General features: G+C 38.6%; 1 protein-coding gene across 4 annotated transcripts in view, besides 1 other annotated feature; it reads left to right on the forward strand.

The window, feature by feature from the left end:
- The window catches only part of ITGBL1 (integrin subunit beta like 1), a 268,182-nt gene that overhangs the window by 243,594 nt on the left and 11,059 nt on the right, over positions 1 to 13,529 (forward strand). For all 4 annotated transcript variants that reach the window (NM_001271754.2, NM_004791.3, NM_001271755.2 and 1 more), the window contains one exon: positions 10,488 to 10,634. In NM_001271754.2, the coding sequence (NP_001258683.1) occupies positions 10,488 to 10,634 (147 nt within the window). The remainder of the gene's footprint in view (positions 1 to 10,487; positions 10,635 to 13,529) is intronic.
- Positions 11,681 to 12,205: an enhancer, noted in NCBI's record as "OCT4-NANOG hESC enhancer chr13:102360299-102360823 (GRCh37/hg19 assembly coordinates)". NCBI's record gives its function as "activates a minimal SCP1, AML or CMV promoter by ChIP-STARR-seq in naive H9 embryonic stem cells {active_cell/tissue: H9 hESC(naive)}" and the evidence as "EXISTENCE:reporter gene assay evidence [ECO:0000049][PMID:30033119]".

Consider the following 13,529-nt stretch of genomic DNA (forward strand, 5'->3'; position numbering starts at 1 on the left):
TGAAACTTAGAGCTCCCTCCCCAGAGTACAAGCATATTTAAGGAAATTCATGATTGCACAATATGAGGGGCAGGGTAGGATCAAGGATGACACCAGGTTTCTGTTTTGAGCAACTGAATGGTGGAGGAGACTATGCTTGTCTTGACCAGTTGTCTCCATTTCTTGAAAAATTGGTTTCTTCACAGAGAGCAACAGAGATGGAGAAACTTGGATATGTTGCTCCCTTTGGAACATATCCCTTGGGTATGTTAGTTCCCTCTCCTAGTCCTTATTGTCACTTCTCCTTGTGAATAACTTATTGTCTTTCCATTCTTCCATGATTTTTCCAAATTACCTCCTATAGGAAGCCTCTCTGAAATGATGTCCTACTTCCTCTATACCGCACCACCTGCATCGTAGTGTGATGAAGTTGTATTGAGAGTGTCCCTGTGTCCCTTTTCTTTAAGTCTACAATTCTCATGGATATAATCAATCTCTCTCTCTCATTATCATATGCTCAAAGCTAGGATAAAGGTTAGTGCTCAATATTTTTATTTGAATAAATGATCAAGTAAAGGATTCACAATTAAGGAGAATGAGAAAGGAAGAACTATTCCAGTTTTGGATACAGGATTCTTCAAGTTGAGGTGAGGATGTGATTTGGACCTTGAACAACTAGTATTTAGATGTGCAGAAATAGGATGTGAAGAATATTTTAGGCCTGGGAAAGCTGGGCAAAAGCACACAGGTGAAAAGTTATTTATTAGATATTGAAGGAAAATATCGATTTCATTTTTTTTTTTTACATCAAGAGCTCTTTCTCAGCTGCTTCTGTACCCATCATTAGAAAGGATTTTTTTCACATATTACTTACTCATGTATTATTTATAATATATATTATGTCACCTTCATTTCTTATACTTGGCTCATCTTTAGATATCAGGTCTTTAAAAATATTGTTAAATTGGTGTTTTTGCTTTCAAAATTAAAAAAATATATAGAGAGAAATGGAAACCACAAAATAAAAATCACCCATTAATTGATCATCCTAGAATAATATCTGATGACACTATGTTGTATTTCTTCCTAGGTTTTGTTTCTGAGGAGTAAAATTATTTTCAAAATATAAATTCATAAATCTTCTTTGGGTATTTTGATATTTTGTCTAGAGAAAGTCCACATTGTATGGTATCCTCAGTTGCTTTAATGTACATGGTGTGCACTTTGTTGCATTTTTTCATGTAAGATTTAAGTGAGAAGAAGTAACCATTTTCTTTGGAATTAAGTGAGGCAGTGCCATATAGCAAGACGAATGGGAACCCTGTATTCAGACAGACCAGGATTTTAATTCTGGGTCTATTTCCTGCTTATTGTAGTAACTTGGACAGGTTGTTTGTCTTCTCTGCTTTGGTTTACCTATGTATTTGTTTGACCTGTCTACCTTGGTTTACTCCTATATACAATAAGGATAATAATCCATTTGGCTTTATGGAAAGAAAGAGACATAAAGACGGAAATGTGCCTGGTACTATGTGCCAGTGAATATTTGATGAATGCCCTGTATCTGTAATAAAAATAAAAGATTGTAGTGGCCATCTGCATTACAGAACAAAATAATACATCTGTCTCAGGTATCTGGAAGCACTAGCTGCAGAGCGTTTTGCAAGGAAGTTGGACTCACACAAATCAGCAGCTCTGTACCTCGGGGAGGAAATTGCAGCTGGTTTTTCCAAAGCAATTAGTCCCCCCCATCATCTCTCCAGTGGAGAACAAATCTTACTAATATGAGAATGTGAAACACACAGACATCATCCCTCTGTTATGGCTTCAGAGAATAACAAAATAAGAGAGTCACTCATTTTGGTAATTTTTTTAGTTCTCCACCAGACACTAAACCATAAGATCTGTGGCCTTTCATATGGAGAATATAAAACCTATATATCCAACATGTGGCCAGAGAGTAAAATATGGTACTTGACTCCAAAATCAGGGACTGTCTTAGCATTTTAGCAAACAAGCAAATAAGTAAGATAAAAAACATGTATAAACTTAACTGATCAGCAGATGCATGAGCACTAAGAGCCAATAGTGTTTATCCCCTTTCCTACCAATAACACTAAAGATGATTAAACCAATTCTGATAGGTTGGATAAATTAGCAATTGTACCTGAAGGTGAATGTAACTAATTTCATAATTTTTACAGTTCAGTTTTGATTACACCAAAATTACAACCTGGAAAAGAGTCATGAAAATGACTAGCAGAAAGAAAATCAGCATGAAGTGAGATCGTTCTTCATTTAATTAACTTGTGAGTCATGTTCAATCATCATAGACTGTCTGTGGATGTTCTCAAAACATCTTTATTAAAAGAAGATGTTATGCAACCTATGCATGCATGGATTTATTATCAGATAAGTCACTATTTATAAAAAGCATGACTTGTCCAGTGATAGTTCGTAAGATTTATTTATTTTATTGGTATATCATTTTAAGATTACACAAGTGAAATATATTCACATACTGGCACATGTGTGTTTAATTGTTTAGCCTAATATAAGTTAAATCAGAGACTTCCCTCCTGTGTGCCATATACCTAGGGTGAGAATAAGAACTAGGCTGCTTATTGCTTTTCTTCTTTCCTCTATACTCCTGGAATAGCTACCCATGAGTCCAATTTAAAAAACAAGAAGGGATAATGAAGAGCCACCTCTTAATTACACAATCAGTTCACATTTCTTCAGGGAGTTCTCTAGTTCATCGCTGCAATTTGAAGGAGATCATGCCGCCTGAGAGTATGAATTCAGTGACTCCCAGGCACTGATGGATTTCTTGTATGAGGAAGAGATCAGATCACACACTCAGACTAACCCTTTCTTAACTGAACAATACAGTCAGAATGTGATTGTCTCCAAATTACATCTTAAAATTGCACACCTGTTTCGTGAATTTGTAAGAGGATCAGTTAGTCCTGTGTTTGGCTGAAGGTGATAGACACAAATACTGAGTCTTCAGGTTGTCATTCCAGGGTTGGATGGTGAGGCGACTGCCTGAGCACCACAGTGTCCCTGAACCCCATCTCTCTCTTCTGCTCTGCCCTTCCAGTATGACGTTTATCATTGTTATGGTTTGGCTGTGTCCCCACGCAAATTTCATCTTGAATTGTAGTTTCTATAATCCCCAAGTGTCGTGGGAGGGACCAAGTGGGAGGTAATTGAATCACGGGGGTGGTTTTCTCCATGTTATTCTCATGATAGTAAGTTCTCACGAGATCTGAAGGTTTTATAAGGGGCTTCCCCCTTCACTCGACTCTCATACTTCTTCTTCCTGCCATCATGTGACGAAGGACATATTTGCTTCCCCTTCCACCATAATTGTAAGTTTCCTGAGGCCTCCCCAGTCATGCAGAACTGTGAGTCAATTAAACCTCTTTCCTTCCAAATTACCGAGTCTTGGGCAGTTCTTTAAACACAGATGTTGTTATCAATGAATGGTCCATGTAGATGATTCTCCAACAGTTCCACCACTCCTGGGTGTTCCTCTTACAGGTCTAAGTGGCAACACAGTCGTGTTGGTGAGACAAAAGATGAATAAAACTACTTCTATGGTCTTATTTTTTAAACTCAAATTTCCAGGAACATTCCACTTAGTAGACCTCCAGTATGGGACACGCTCCTTTGTCATTTCATGAGACAACACAATCTTAGTTTTCTCCTTCCTTACTGAATGTTCTTGTCTGGCTTCTCTAGTTACCTAACTCTAAATATTGGGGTCCCCAAGACTAATTTCTCCCTGGATAGCTGCTTCACTTCTAGGGCTTTAAGTGCCATCCACATTTGTAAGCTCTAACATGTGTATGCCTAGAGCCAGCACTAACATGTTCTCTGAGCAGCAGCTTGTGCCTAGCTGCTTACTTGACCTCACTATCTCATTGTCTTAAGAGTGTCTCAAATACAACAGGCTCAAAACAGAGCTGTTTTTCTGCCCTCAACCTCTTTCTCCTGAAGTGCCCCTACCCAATAAACAGCATCATTATTCACACTATTTCTTCTAGCTAGAAAACTTGTCTTGTCTTTTCCTCACTTGCCACATCCAGTCCAACATTGTGTCCCACATATACAGGCTCCATCACCAAAATAGATTTCCATGTACTTCTCTGTGTTTCCACTGCCACCACTGTCCTTTAAGCTTCTATCACTTTTCACTTGGAAAACAGCAAGAACCCTCTAACTTCCCCATATTCATTCCTCCCAACATACCTTAATCTGTCCCACCTAGTTGCCAAATGAGTTTGCAAAGTGTAAACTATATCGTCACATCATTCACTTCCTTAATATCCTTCTGTCATTTCTCAATCCTCTTAAAATAAATTTAGATTTTTTTTACCAAGAGTAAATCATTTGCTATGTTCTCATTTCTGAGAAGGGAATATTTCTCCACCTTCATTATTCAGTGTTTTTGACTTACTATTCTTCAAACACGTTGGCCTTCTTTTACTGCCTGTAACATGCCAAGCTATTTCTTGTCCCAAGAACTTTTCATTTGTTTTTCTAGGCTCTGTTCCTAGAACATTGGCTGTCTGGCTCCTTCTCATCCCTTGGCTGTCACTGAACCCTTCCCTGACTACCCTAGTTAACAGTGTTCTTGCTATTGAATATACTAGCATTTTCTTTTTGTCTTCTATTACTCAAATGTTGCTTATCGTTATTTTCTTCCCTAGAAGACCGTAATTACCATGAAGACAGGGCCAATGCCTATTTTACTTACTGTTATATTCTAAGCTGTTAATACAATTCCTGATACATAGAAAATATTTCTTGAAGAGATAACTAAATTATTAGAGTTTATTAAAAAGAGGGTATTGAAAGTTGTTTTGTTCTTAAGTAAAGTCATATAAATGACAACTCAAAGCATTTGAATATTAATGTATTTTGATGATTGGCTGAGCTAGATACCAACTTAACTTCGTGGAAGGATATAATAGATTAGCTAATAATAAAAAATCATCGCCAGGCACAGTGGCTCACACCTGTAATCCCAGCACTTTGGGAGGCCGAGGCGGGCAGATCATGAGGTCAGGAGATCAAGACCATCCTGGCCAACACAGTAAAACCCTGTCTCTACTAAAAATACAAAAATTAGCTGGGCGTGGTGGCACATGCCTGTAATCCCAGCTATTCGGGAGGCTGAGGCAGGAGAATGGCTTGAACCCGGGAGTCGGAGGGTGCAGTGAGTCAAAATTGCCACTGCGCTCCAGCCTGGTGACAGAGCAAGACTCCATCTCAAAAAAATAAAATAAAATAATAATAAATAAATAAAAAATCATCTATTTTCTTGCATAACATTTTATATTATTTGCAATGAGATGCCATAAAATTATTCTTAATAATATTGTAAATCAAAGGCAGAATATCAACTTCTAAAAGGGGAAAAATTGTCTCATACTACAACATGGAAGGATCTTTAAGATATGTTAAATAAAATAAGCCAGTCATGAAAAGAAAAACACTGTATGATTTCACTTATATAGGTACCTAGAGTAGTCAGATATATAGACAGAAGCTGGAATGGTGATTTCCAGGAGCTGAGAAGAGAAGGGAATGGGACTTACTGTTTTATGGGTGCTTAGTTTCAATTTGGGAAGATGAAAATATTCTAGAGATGAATGGTGGTGATGGTTGTACGACAATGAGAATATACTTAATGCTACTGAACCATACACTTAAAATGGTTAAGATGGTAAATTTTATGTTATATCTATTTTACCATAATAAAAAATATTGTAGAAAAAAGTAGCCATAGGTCTACTTTAATTATCTGTTTCTTTTTATGTGGGTTTTAATAGATTGTGTCTTCACGGAATTGGTCCAAATGATCCAGGTTATCAGATTCTTGGACAAATCATTGTTTGTAATATTCTATTATTATCCTTTTAATGTCCATAAGGTAAGATATAATCATCTCTCTCTTAATTTTCATATTGAACATTTGTGTCTTCTCTCTTTTTACTTGTTTAGCCTGGCCTAATATTTATCAATTTTATTGATCTTTTCAAATAGCCAACTTTTGTTTTATTGATTTTCTCTGTTGGTTTTCTATTTCCAGTTGTATTGATTTGTCATGGAATTGATTGTATTTCTTTTCTTATGACCAATTTAGTTTTATATTGCTCTTCTTTAGTGTTTTAAAGTGAAAGATTACATCACTGATTTTATATTTTTCATTGCTTCTGATTGCATTCATGCTGTAAATTTCTTTCCAAGTATTACTCTTGCTGTATCCTACACATTTTCATAATATGTATTTTCATTTTCCATATAGTACTAATTAAATTTGAAAAAAAAAGGCAGAAAACAAAAAAAAGACAGAATATTTTTCTATGCAATACAGATTAAATGATTTCAGTTGTGTCAAATTGTGATAATTCTTACCAACCTAGGGTCAGTAAGAAACATGAGCATTTGAGAAGTTCATAGCCCAATTGAGCTGGTACTAGAAGCTCTCTTTCTCTTCATTTTTGGTTTCTTGTACAACAGATTCTCTGCCTTCAAAGATGGACAACTTTTTATTTAACTCTTTAAGGACATCTGGACTTTAAGTGGACTTTGGTTTTCATGGAGAAGTAAAGATGTACTCAATTTAACAATTATTCATTGAGTAGATAGGGGCGTAGGGGTGCCAGTTTTCTAACTTGGCTCTACTCTACAGTTTGATTTGTGGGTAAAAATGAGAAAGATGTTTTGAAAAAGACAATTTCAATCTCCTCCAAGTTTTTGAAGATCCACTGTGTCTCAGGCATTGTGTTAGGCACTCTGAAGACTACAGTGCTGACAGAAGTAATACTCAGAAAATTCATAGTAGAGTAGTGGATTCATTTGACACATAACTATATACCATGAGATGGAAGTCAAAAAAGTTCCACAGGAGGTAAAAAAAAAAAAATAAGGTATTACAGAAATTCAGAGGAGAGACAATGAGTCTCACTTAGGGATATTAGGTAAATCTTCACAGAAGGGTAGTCGCTTTTTGCTGAGCTTTGAAAATTACTCAGAACCTGAATGTGTATAGTAAGGGAAAGGTACTTCTACCTCTGCAAAAACATGAGGTCAGAAAAGCATGACAAATGTGCAGGAAACAATGAATGGGCCAGTTTGGTTAAAGGGAGAAGAGAAGGAATACAATTGGAAATGTAGCTTCTGTTTTTCAAGAAGCTAAAACATAACAAAGGCTAGAGTAGGTAAACTCTATGCCATGAGTATTAGGAAGTTATACGGGACTAAATATCAAGGCAAGTTGTGCTGTAGGAATCTACGAGCCAGAGTATTGGAGAGACATGACAGGAAGTTTTTTCCAACGTTGTGATGGTGATGTAAGTGGGAATGTTGGAGGTGGTTTCAACAAGACTTGACAACAAGCTGGATGAGGGCAGTAAGGGAAATTCAAATGAGACTCAAAACATCATGAACTGGTTGATTGAAAGGATAGCTGTTACATTAAAAGAAATGAGAAAGACAAGCAGCTTTTGGAAAGAAAATCATATATGGATGTAGGAGATCGGTCAGGGTGGTGGGAAAAATTGTAGAAGATGCAAACCTTCTTGGAAGGCTGGAAGATTTTACAAAAGCTTTGGAAAAGGATTTGGCTGAAGGCAGCCAGATTCTCTTATCTGGTGAAACTAATCTAAATAAGTAAGTTAACATAGGCCTTGGAACCTGGGCTTTGATCATCTGAGTGCAGGACTACTCTCTCTGGGGAGGGGAGGGGACGGGAGAGACCATGTAAATTGCCCACAAGTGTGTTGACTCAGAGCCTTTGTGATTAAATCTATACTGAATAAATGCCTGCAGTGCCAGCTTGTCAGGGCCACGGCTGCTGACTCTTTACAGCACCCTCCTTGGTGTCTGGTGTCTGTGAGCAGCCTGGTCCCCTAGCCCACTCTTTCACTGGATACCTGTGTCTGGGTGCATTTGTTCATCCGTTGTTCCACCAGGGTCTATGGGTCGGACCCTGCCTATGTAGCTCTGGAGGTATTAAGTGGGGATGCTAATAGAACACAAAGTGTGGAATCATGAAAGGGGAATGTAGGAGAAAATCAGGGGCTGGAGATACAGCCCTGTGGTCTTGGCAGTTATCTGAAAGCCCAAAATTTAATGGATTTTTCAAGAAAGAAATTATGGAGAGATTAAAAAAGATGATTAAAGATAAACATTGGGTGAATACCTGCACTTATTCATTCAGTAAAAAAAAAAAAAAAAAAAGTAGAAGAATAAATAGAGACAAAGGAGGAGTGTTGAATGAGGCCAAGAGAATTTTGTGGCATGCCAATAGAGAAGAGACTTGCAAGGAGAGAAAGTGCCTGTGAATATCAAATATATACCTTCAAATGATGTGGTGGTTGAAAGAGACAAGAATTAAGAAATCCTGCTGTGTCTCACTTTCTAAAGTGAAATATAGAAGCAAAGCAACACATTGGGAAGAGTGTAGACATTGGAATCAGAGGAACTAGAGTCAGTTCCGATCTGGCTGAGCCAATTATCGGTCACATGTTTACATGCATGCTACTTTTAAACTTTAATGGTTTCAGTTTTTGGGTTTTTTGTTTGTTTCTTTGTTTGTTTTTACTTTGCATGTAAATCAAGCTAGGTGAAAAAGACCACAATTACCTCATTTATTTGTTTATTTATTTACTTTTTTCCTTTTTTGCTAACCTGTGTGACAAGAACAGTCATTAGCCTTAGAAAGTGCCAGAGCACTTGCTGATTGAGTGCATGTTAAAGGTATGGCAGCGACATTTTTCTTGCAGATTTAGTAGTCCCCCATTCGTATCCGATGTTTTTCCCAGAATATTTTTTAAAAGAATGTCAGACATTCCTAGTATCCTGTCTTTCTTTCAGGATCCCAATTTTCTCCAGGGGAGCAACATATGCTGGATTAAAAAACCGCTCTCCCAGACCTTCTCTGGCTGTTAGGAGGCACTTGTTGCATGGCCTGTGAGGTAGGGATGTGGTATAACCCAGGGAAAATCTCTCTTATTTAATTTAAAAAGCAAAAAAAAAAAAAAAAACAACAACAACAAAAAAAAATAGTTTTCCAAGAAACCCTCTCCAGGAGACTTCTGCTTACCTCTCAGTGATCAAAAACCTTTTCACCACAGTTACTTACCACGTCCTACCGATCCGCATTCTCGCAAGTGTCCTTCACTCCATTTACTCTACTGCATTTTTCACTGTATTTCTCATGCCAAAACTTGGGCTTCTCCACCAGTCTGCACACGTTCATGCTCTCAATTCTCACAGCCATCTATTTCATTCTCCACTAAACTGTTAGAGGGATTTCTGTAGAAATTAAAGAAATTCCTATCACTCCTAAAAAAAAAAGAAAAAATAATTATAATAATTAATTGCAAACCATTAAGCATTGGTTACTCATCCTCCCTGTGGAGAGCTGAATGGAGGGGGAGCAGATGGAGCAAGGTTCACTCCTGAGGGTCCTGCCAGAGCAAATGGTCAGGAGAGAACGGTGTCAACAGCTTCAGAGAGGCTAATCAGTGTGAATGATGAGCGTATCTGTCCCTGGGAGAAGAGCAGGGACCACTTTGTCCATGGTGCTTGATTTTGTATCCCCTAGTGCATAGCAAAATGCTCTGTTGATAACAGATACTCAGTAACTCTTCGCTAGGCAAATAGTTGATTCAGAGAGACCCTGCTGTAAGGTAATGCACATATCAGGAAAAGGAATAAAGGGTCGAGCGGAAACTGAAATGGAAGAAATTGAAATGGAATATCATGCAATCTAATGGTGTGTTGGTGGCAGGCAATAAACAGGTGTACATCCTGGTATATAGCTGTCACAAATACAATGTTACATATATACCAAAAGATAAACATCTGAAAAACCAGGAACCAATGTCAGGAACCAAACCAAAAAAAATGTGCCAAACATGAATCCAAGCTAATGTTAATTTTTATGCAATAATAGAGAGACACCATTACTTCCACTTGTATCTGTTGTTATTTGTAAGCAGAGAGGTATACAGATAAACTAATATAGTACCAAATGCCATTTGTATGAAAGTTACCCTTTTGTTTTATTAGTAAGCAATAGGAGAACAATCAATAAATACTGCCACCAGTGGTAATGTGACTAGCCTTGCAAATTGGTCTGGATGGCATGGTGTGTGCAATGAAGAATAGCGCTAAGACTCCATACTGATAAAAATGCAAATGAAGAAGTATTTTCTATCAAGAAAGGTGGTATAATTCCATTTAAAATTATTGCAAGATTTCTTTCTCTCAAGTCATCTCCTATGCTACATTCAAATTTATTATGTTAAGCTAGAACTCTGTTGTAAGTTCTTTCAAACAATTACATGCCAAATTGACTATGCATAAAGAAGAATGTGTTGGATGGGAAATGAGATCCTATGGTTTACACATTTCTTTCTTAAAACTCTCTGCTTCAGCTGGTTATTTCCTCATCCTCTCACTCCTTTCCTGTGGTTGCTTCACAGGCCACGGCACATGTTCCTGTGGTCGCTGTGTTTGTGAGAGAGGATGGTTTGGAAAGCTCTGCCAACATCCGCGGAAGTGTAACATGACGGAAGAACAAAGCAAGAATCTGTGTGAATCAGCAGATGGCATATTGTGCTCGGGGAAGGGTGAGTATCTCTGCTGGTGCCTGGACTCCATTCCTGTTCTGACACATGATTTGTAGAACAGCATGTAGCAACTGTCTTTCCCAGACTGAACTTTGCATGAAAGCAAACCACTATGTCCTCTGCTGTCCCCAACTTGAAGCTTGAAGATTAACCAAATGAAGTTTTGGATCTAAGAAAATGAAATGCGTGTGAGAGGATTCATGCAAAAATATCCTTGTATGCAAAGTTATTGCTGAATGAAATAGAATTAATACTTTTATCAAGAAATTAGGACAACAAAATATACCAGATACTAAATGGACCCAAAAATGGGGAAAAAAGGCAAAAGAATGATTATTGGGCTCACCTCTGAAACAACACAGCTCAGAACTACAGAAAAGTAATCACAAGCATCTGAGCTGCCCAAAGATATGACTTTGGGAACTTCTGGGGCTAAATTATTTAGCTGTATGTGGAGCAGGGGAAGATTGAAGGTGTGAGAAGACATAAAAGGAGACAAAATATTTAATTTAGTTTAATTTTTTTAAAAAGGAAAGAAAAGCTATGGGGGAGGGGTAGTATCCCACAAGTCTGATGGAATTTTCTTTGCCCTAAAAATCACCAATTGTTCCAAGTAAACATGTGCAGCCTGATATAAGAAAATAGGTAATTGTTCGGTTGGGCACCGTGGCCCATGCCTGTAATTCTAGCACTTTGGGAGGCCAAGGCGGGTGGATCACTTGAGGTCAGGAGTTCTAGACCAGCCTGGCCAACGTGGTGAAAAATACAAAAATCTACTCTATTAAAAAAAACACAAAAAAATTAGCCAGGCATTGTGGCTCACACCTGTAATTACAGTTACTTGAGAGGCTGGGGCAGGGGAGGAGCTTAAACCCAGGACGTGGAGGTCGCAGTAAACTGAGATCACACCACTGCACTCCAGCCTGGGCAACAGAGCAAGACTCCATCTCCCAGAAAAAAAAAAAAAAAAGGTAATAATTAAACAAAGAAAACAAAAGCCTGCCAAATGGTTATAACCTACAAGTTGGTTGAATAGAAGCCACCAACCCAATAAAACATTTGCCATGGAAACATATTAAAGGAAAAAGCAAGCCTTCTCCATCTCCCATCCTACACACATGCAAACACACACACACACACACACACACACACACACACACACACACATACACACAAATTGGAAGAGGATTCCCCTGAGTAAAGAATGCTAATAGATTAAATTTTGAACACCTTGATTTTGATGTTTCTGTATACTATTCTTGAAGGGACTTTAAAATCCTGCCATTGTAATGCATATGGCATCATCTAGAAAGCTGTTGTGTTCTTCTTTGCTAGTGACTAGGAAGACACAGGGAGCCTGAAAGATTCTCACCTCATGTCTGGGGAGCAGCGCTTCAAAGAAACTGAAGTTAGGGGCTTCCCAGCTCTCCTCTTCAGCTCAGTATCCTCTTTACACCACAGACACACTTTTTTTTTTCTGACAAGGCACAGCTCTGGCTGAAGCTTCATTTACCCTCAAAACCTCTGCTGGTCAGGATGACCAGGTAAATAATTTTCTGAAGAAGACAGCAAAGCAAAAGTGTGCTAGAGACACTGAATCCTGTTGCCAAAGAACCACACCAGTGAGGCTGCCACACACGAAGGAAGGAGGTCTCTGAAGCAAGATGTGCCGTGTGTCCCCTAAACAGTAGCTTTTGTTTTGCCTCGTATGCAAGACCAATGCTATCAAGTTGAAAGAGACTTTTTGGCAGAACTTCAGACATCAAAGAGGATGGATGCTGTGACTATCTGTGGTGCCAAGAAGGGGGATGAAAATGAATGCAGATGTATTCACTTCAATAGATGACAGTGTCCTTGGTTTCCAGGAGTTCTGTGTTCAACACTTGTATTTACAATGCTCAGGCAAGGAGGCCATGCCATCAACCTAATGTCATTACAGCAGGCAGGTGGAAAATGAGTTTAAAGCAATCGCTTTGTGCCTTGTTTGTTCTCTCACTAATTCAATCTAATCTCAAGCCCCAAACAGATCTTCCACCAGTTCTGTTCTCAGGGGGCTTCAGCCCCTAGAAACACCTACCTTGAATTCAAGCTGTGTTGGGACAACCAAAAAGAAGGAAAGGTTAAAAGGAAGAAAACAAGGGAAAGAATTGGGGAGAAGGAGATTAAGGAAGAAAAGCAGGAGGCCGGGCGCGGTGGCTCACGCCTGTAATCCCAGCACTTTGGGAGGCCGAGGCGGGTGGATCATGAGGTCAGGAGATCGAGACCATCCTGGCTAACAAGGTGAAACCCCGTCTCTACTAAAAATACAAAAAATTAGCCGGGCGCGGTGGCGGGCGCCTGTAGTCCCAGCTACTCGGGAGGCTGAGGCAGGAGAATGGCGTGAACCCGGGAAGCGGAGCTTGCAGTGAGCCGAGATTGCGCCACTGCAGTCCGCAGTCCGGCCTGGGTGACAGAGCGAGACTCCGTCTCAAAAAAAAAAAAAAAAAAAAAAAAAAAGAAAAGCAGGAAAGGAGGCAGGGATGGAATTAAACTGCAAGAGAGAAGTAGGAGAGAATAAAAGAGATGTTATCAGAGGGGAATGATCTGTGTATAAAAAGATACTGAGAATGAATCGTTTTTGAATTAGATTTTTTTTTCCTCTGAGCATGGCTTCAGACATAGAGCACTTAAGTTTAGATACTTTTTTACTTGGTTTTCTGTAATGGCATTGTCACTGGGATAAGAATAGAAGCTTTTCACAGAAGCTCTACTGAAAAAGATACCCATACATATTAAAACACTAGTGTGCTTATTTATATTTGTTTATTTTAAGAGTCAACTATTGTTTGTGTTTGTGTGTTTACTACGCTCACTATTGAATCATTAACACTTTCCATAAGCGGGTCTTCCCTAAGA

Source organism: Homo sapiens, chromosome 13 (assembly GCF_000001405.40).
Source record: "Homo sapiens chromosome 13, GRCh38.p14 Primary Assembly".
In the NCBI taxonomy this organism is placed as follows: Eukaryota; Metazoa; Chordata; class Mammalia; order Primates; family Hominidae; genus Homo; species Homo sapiens.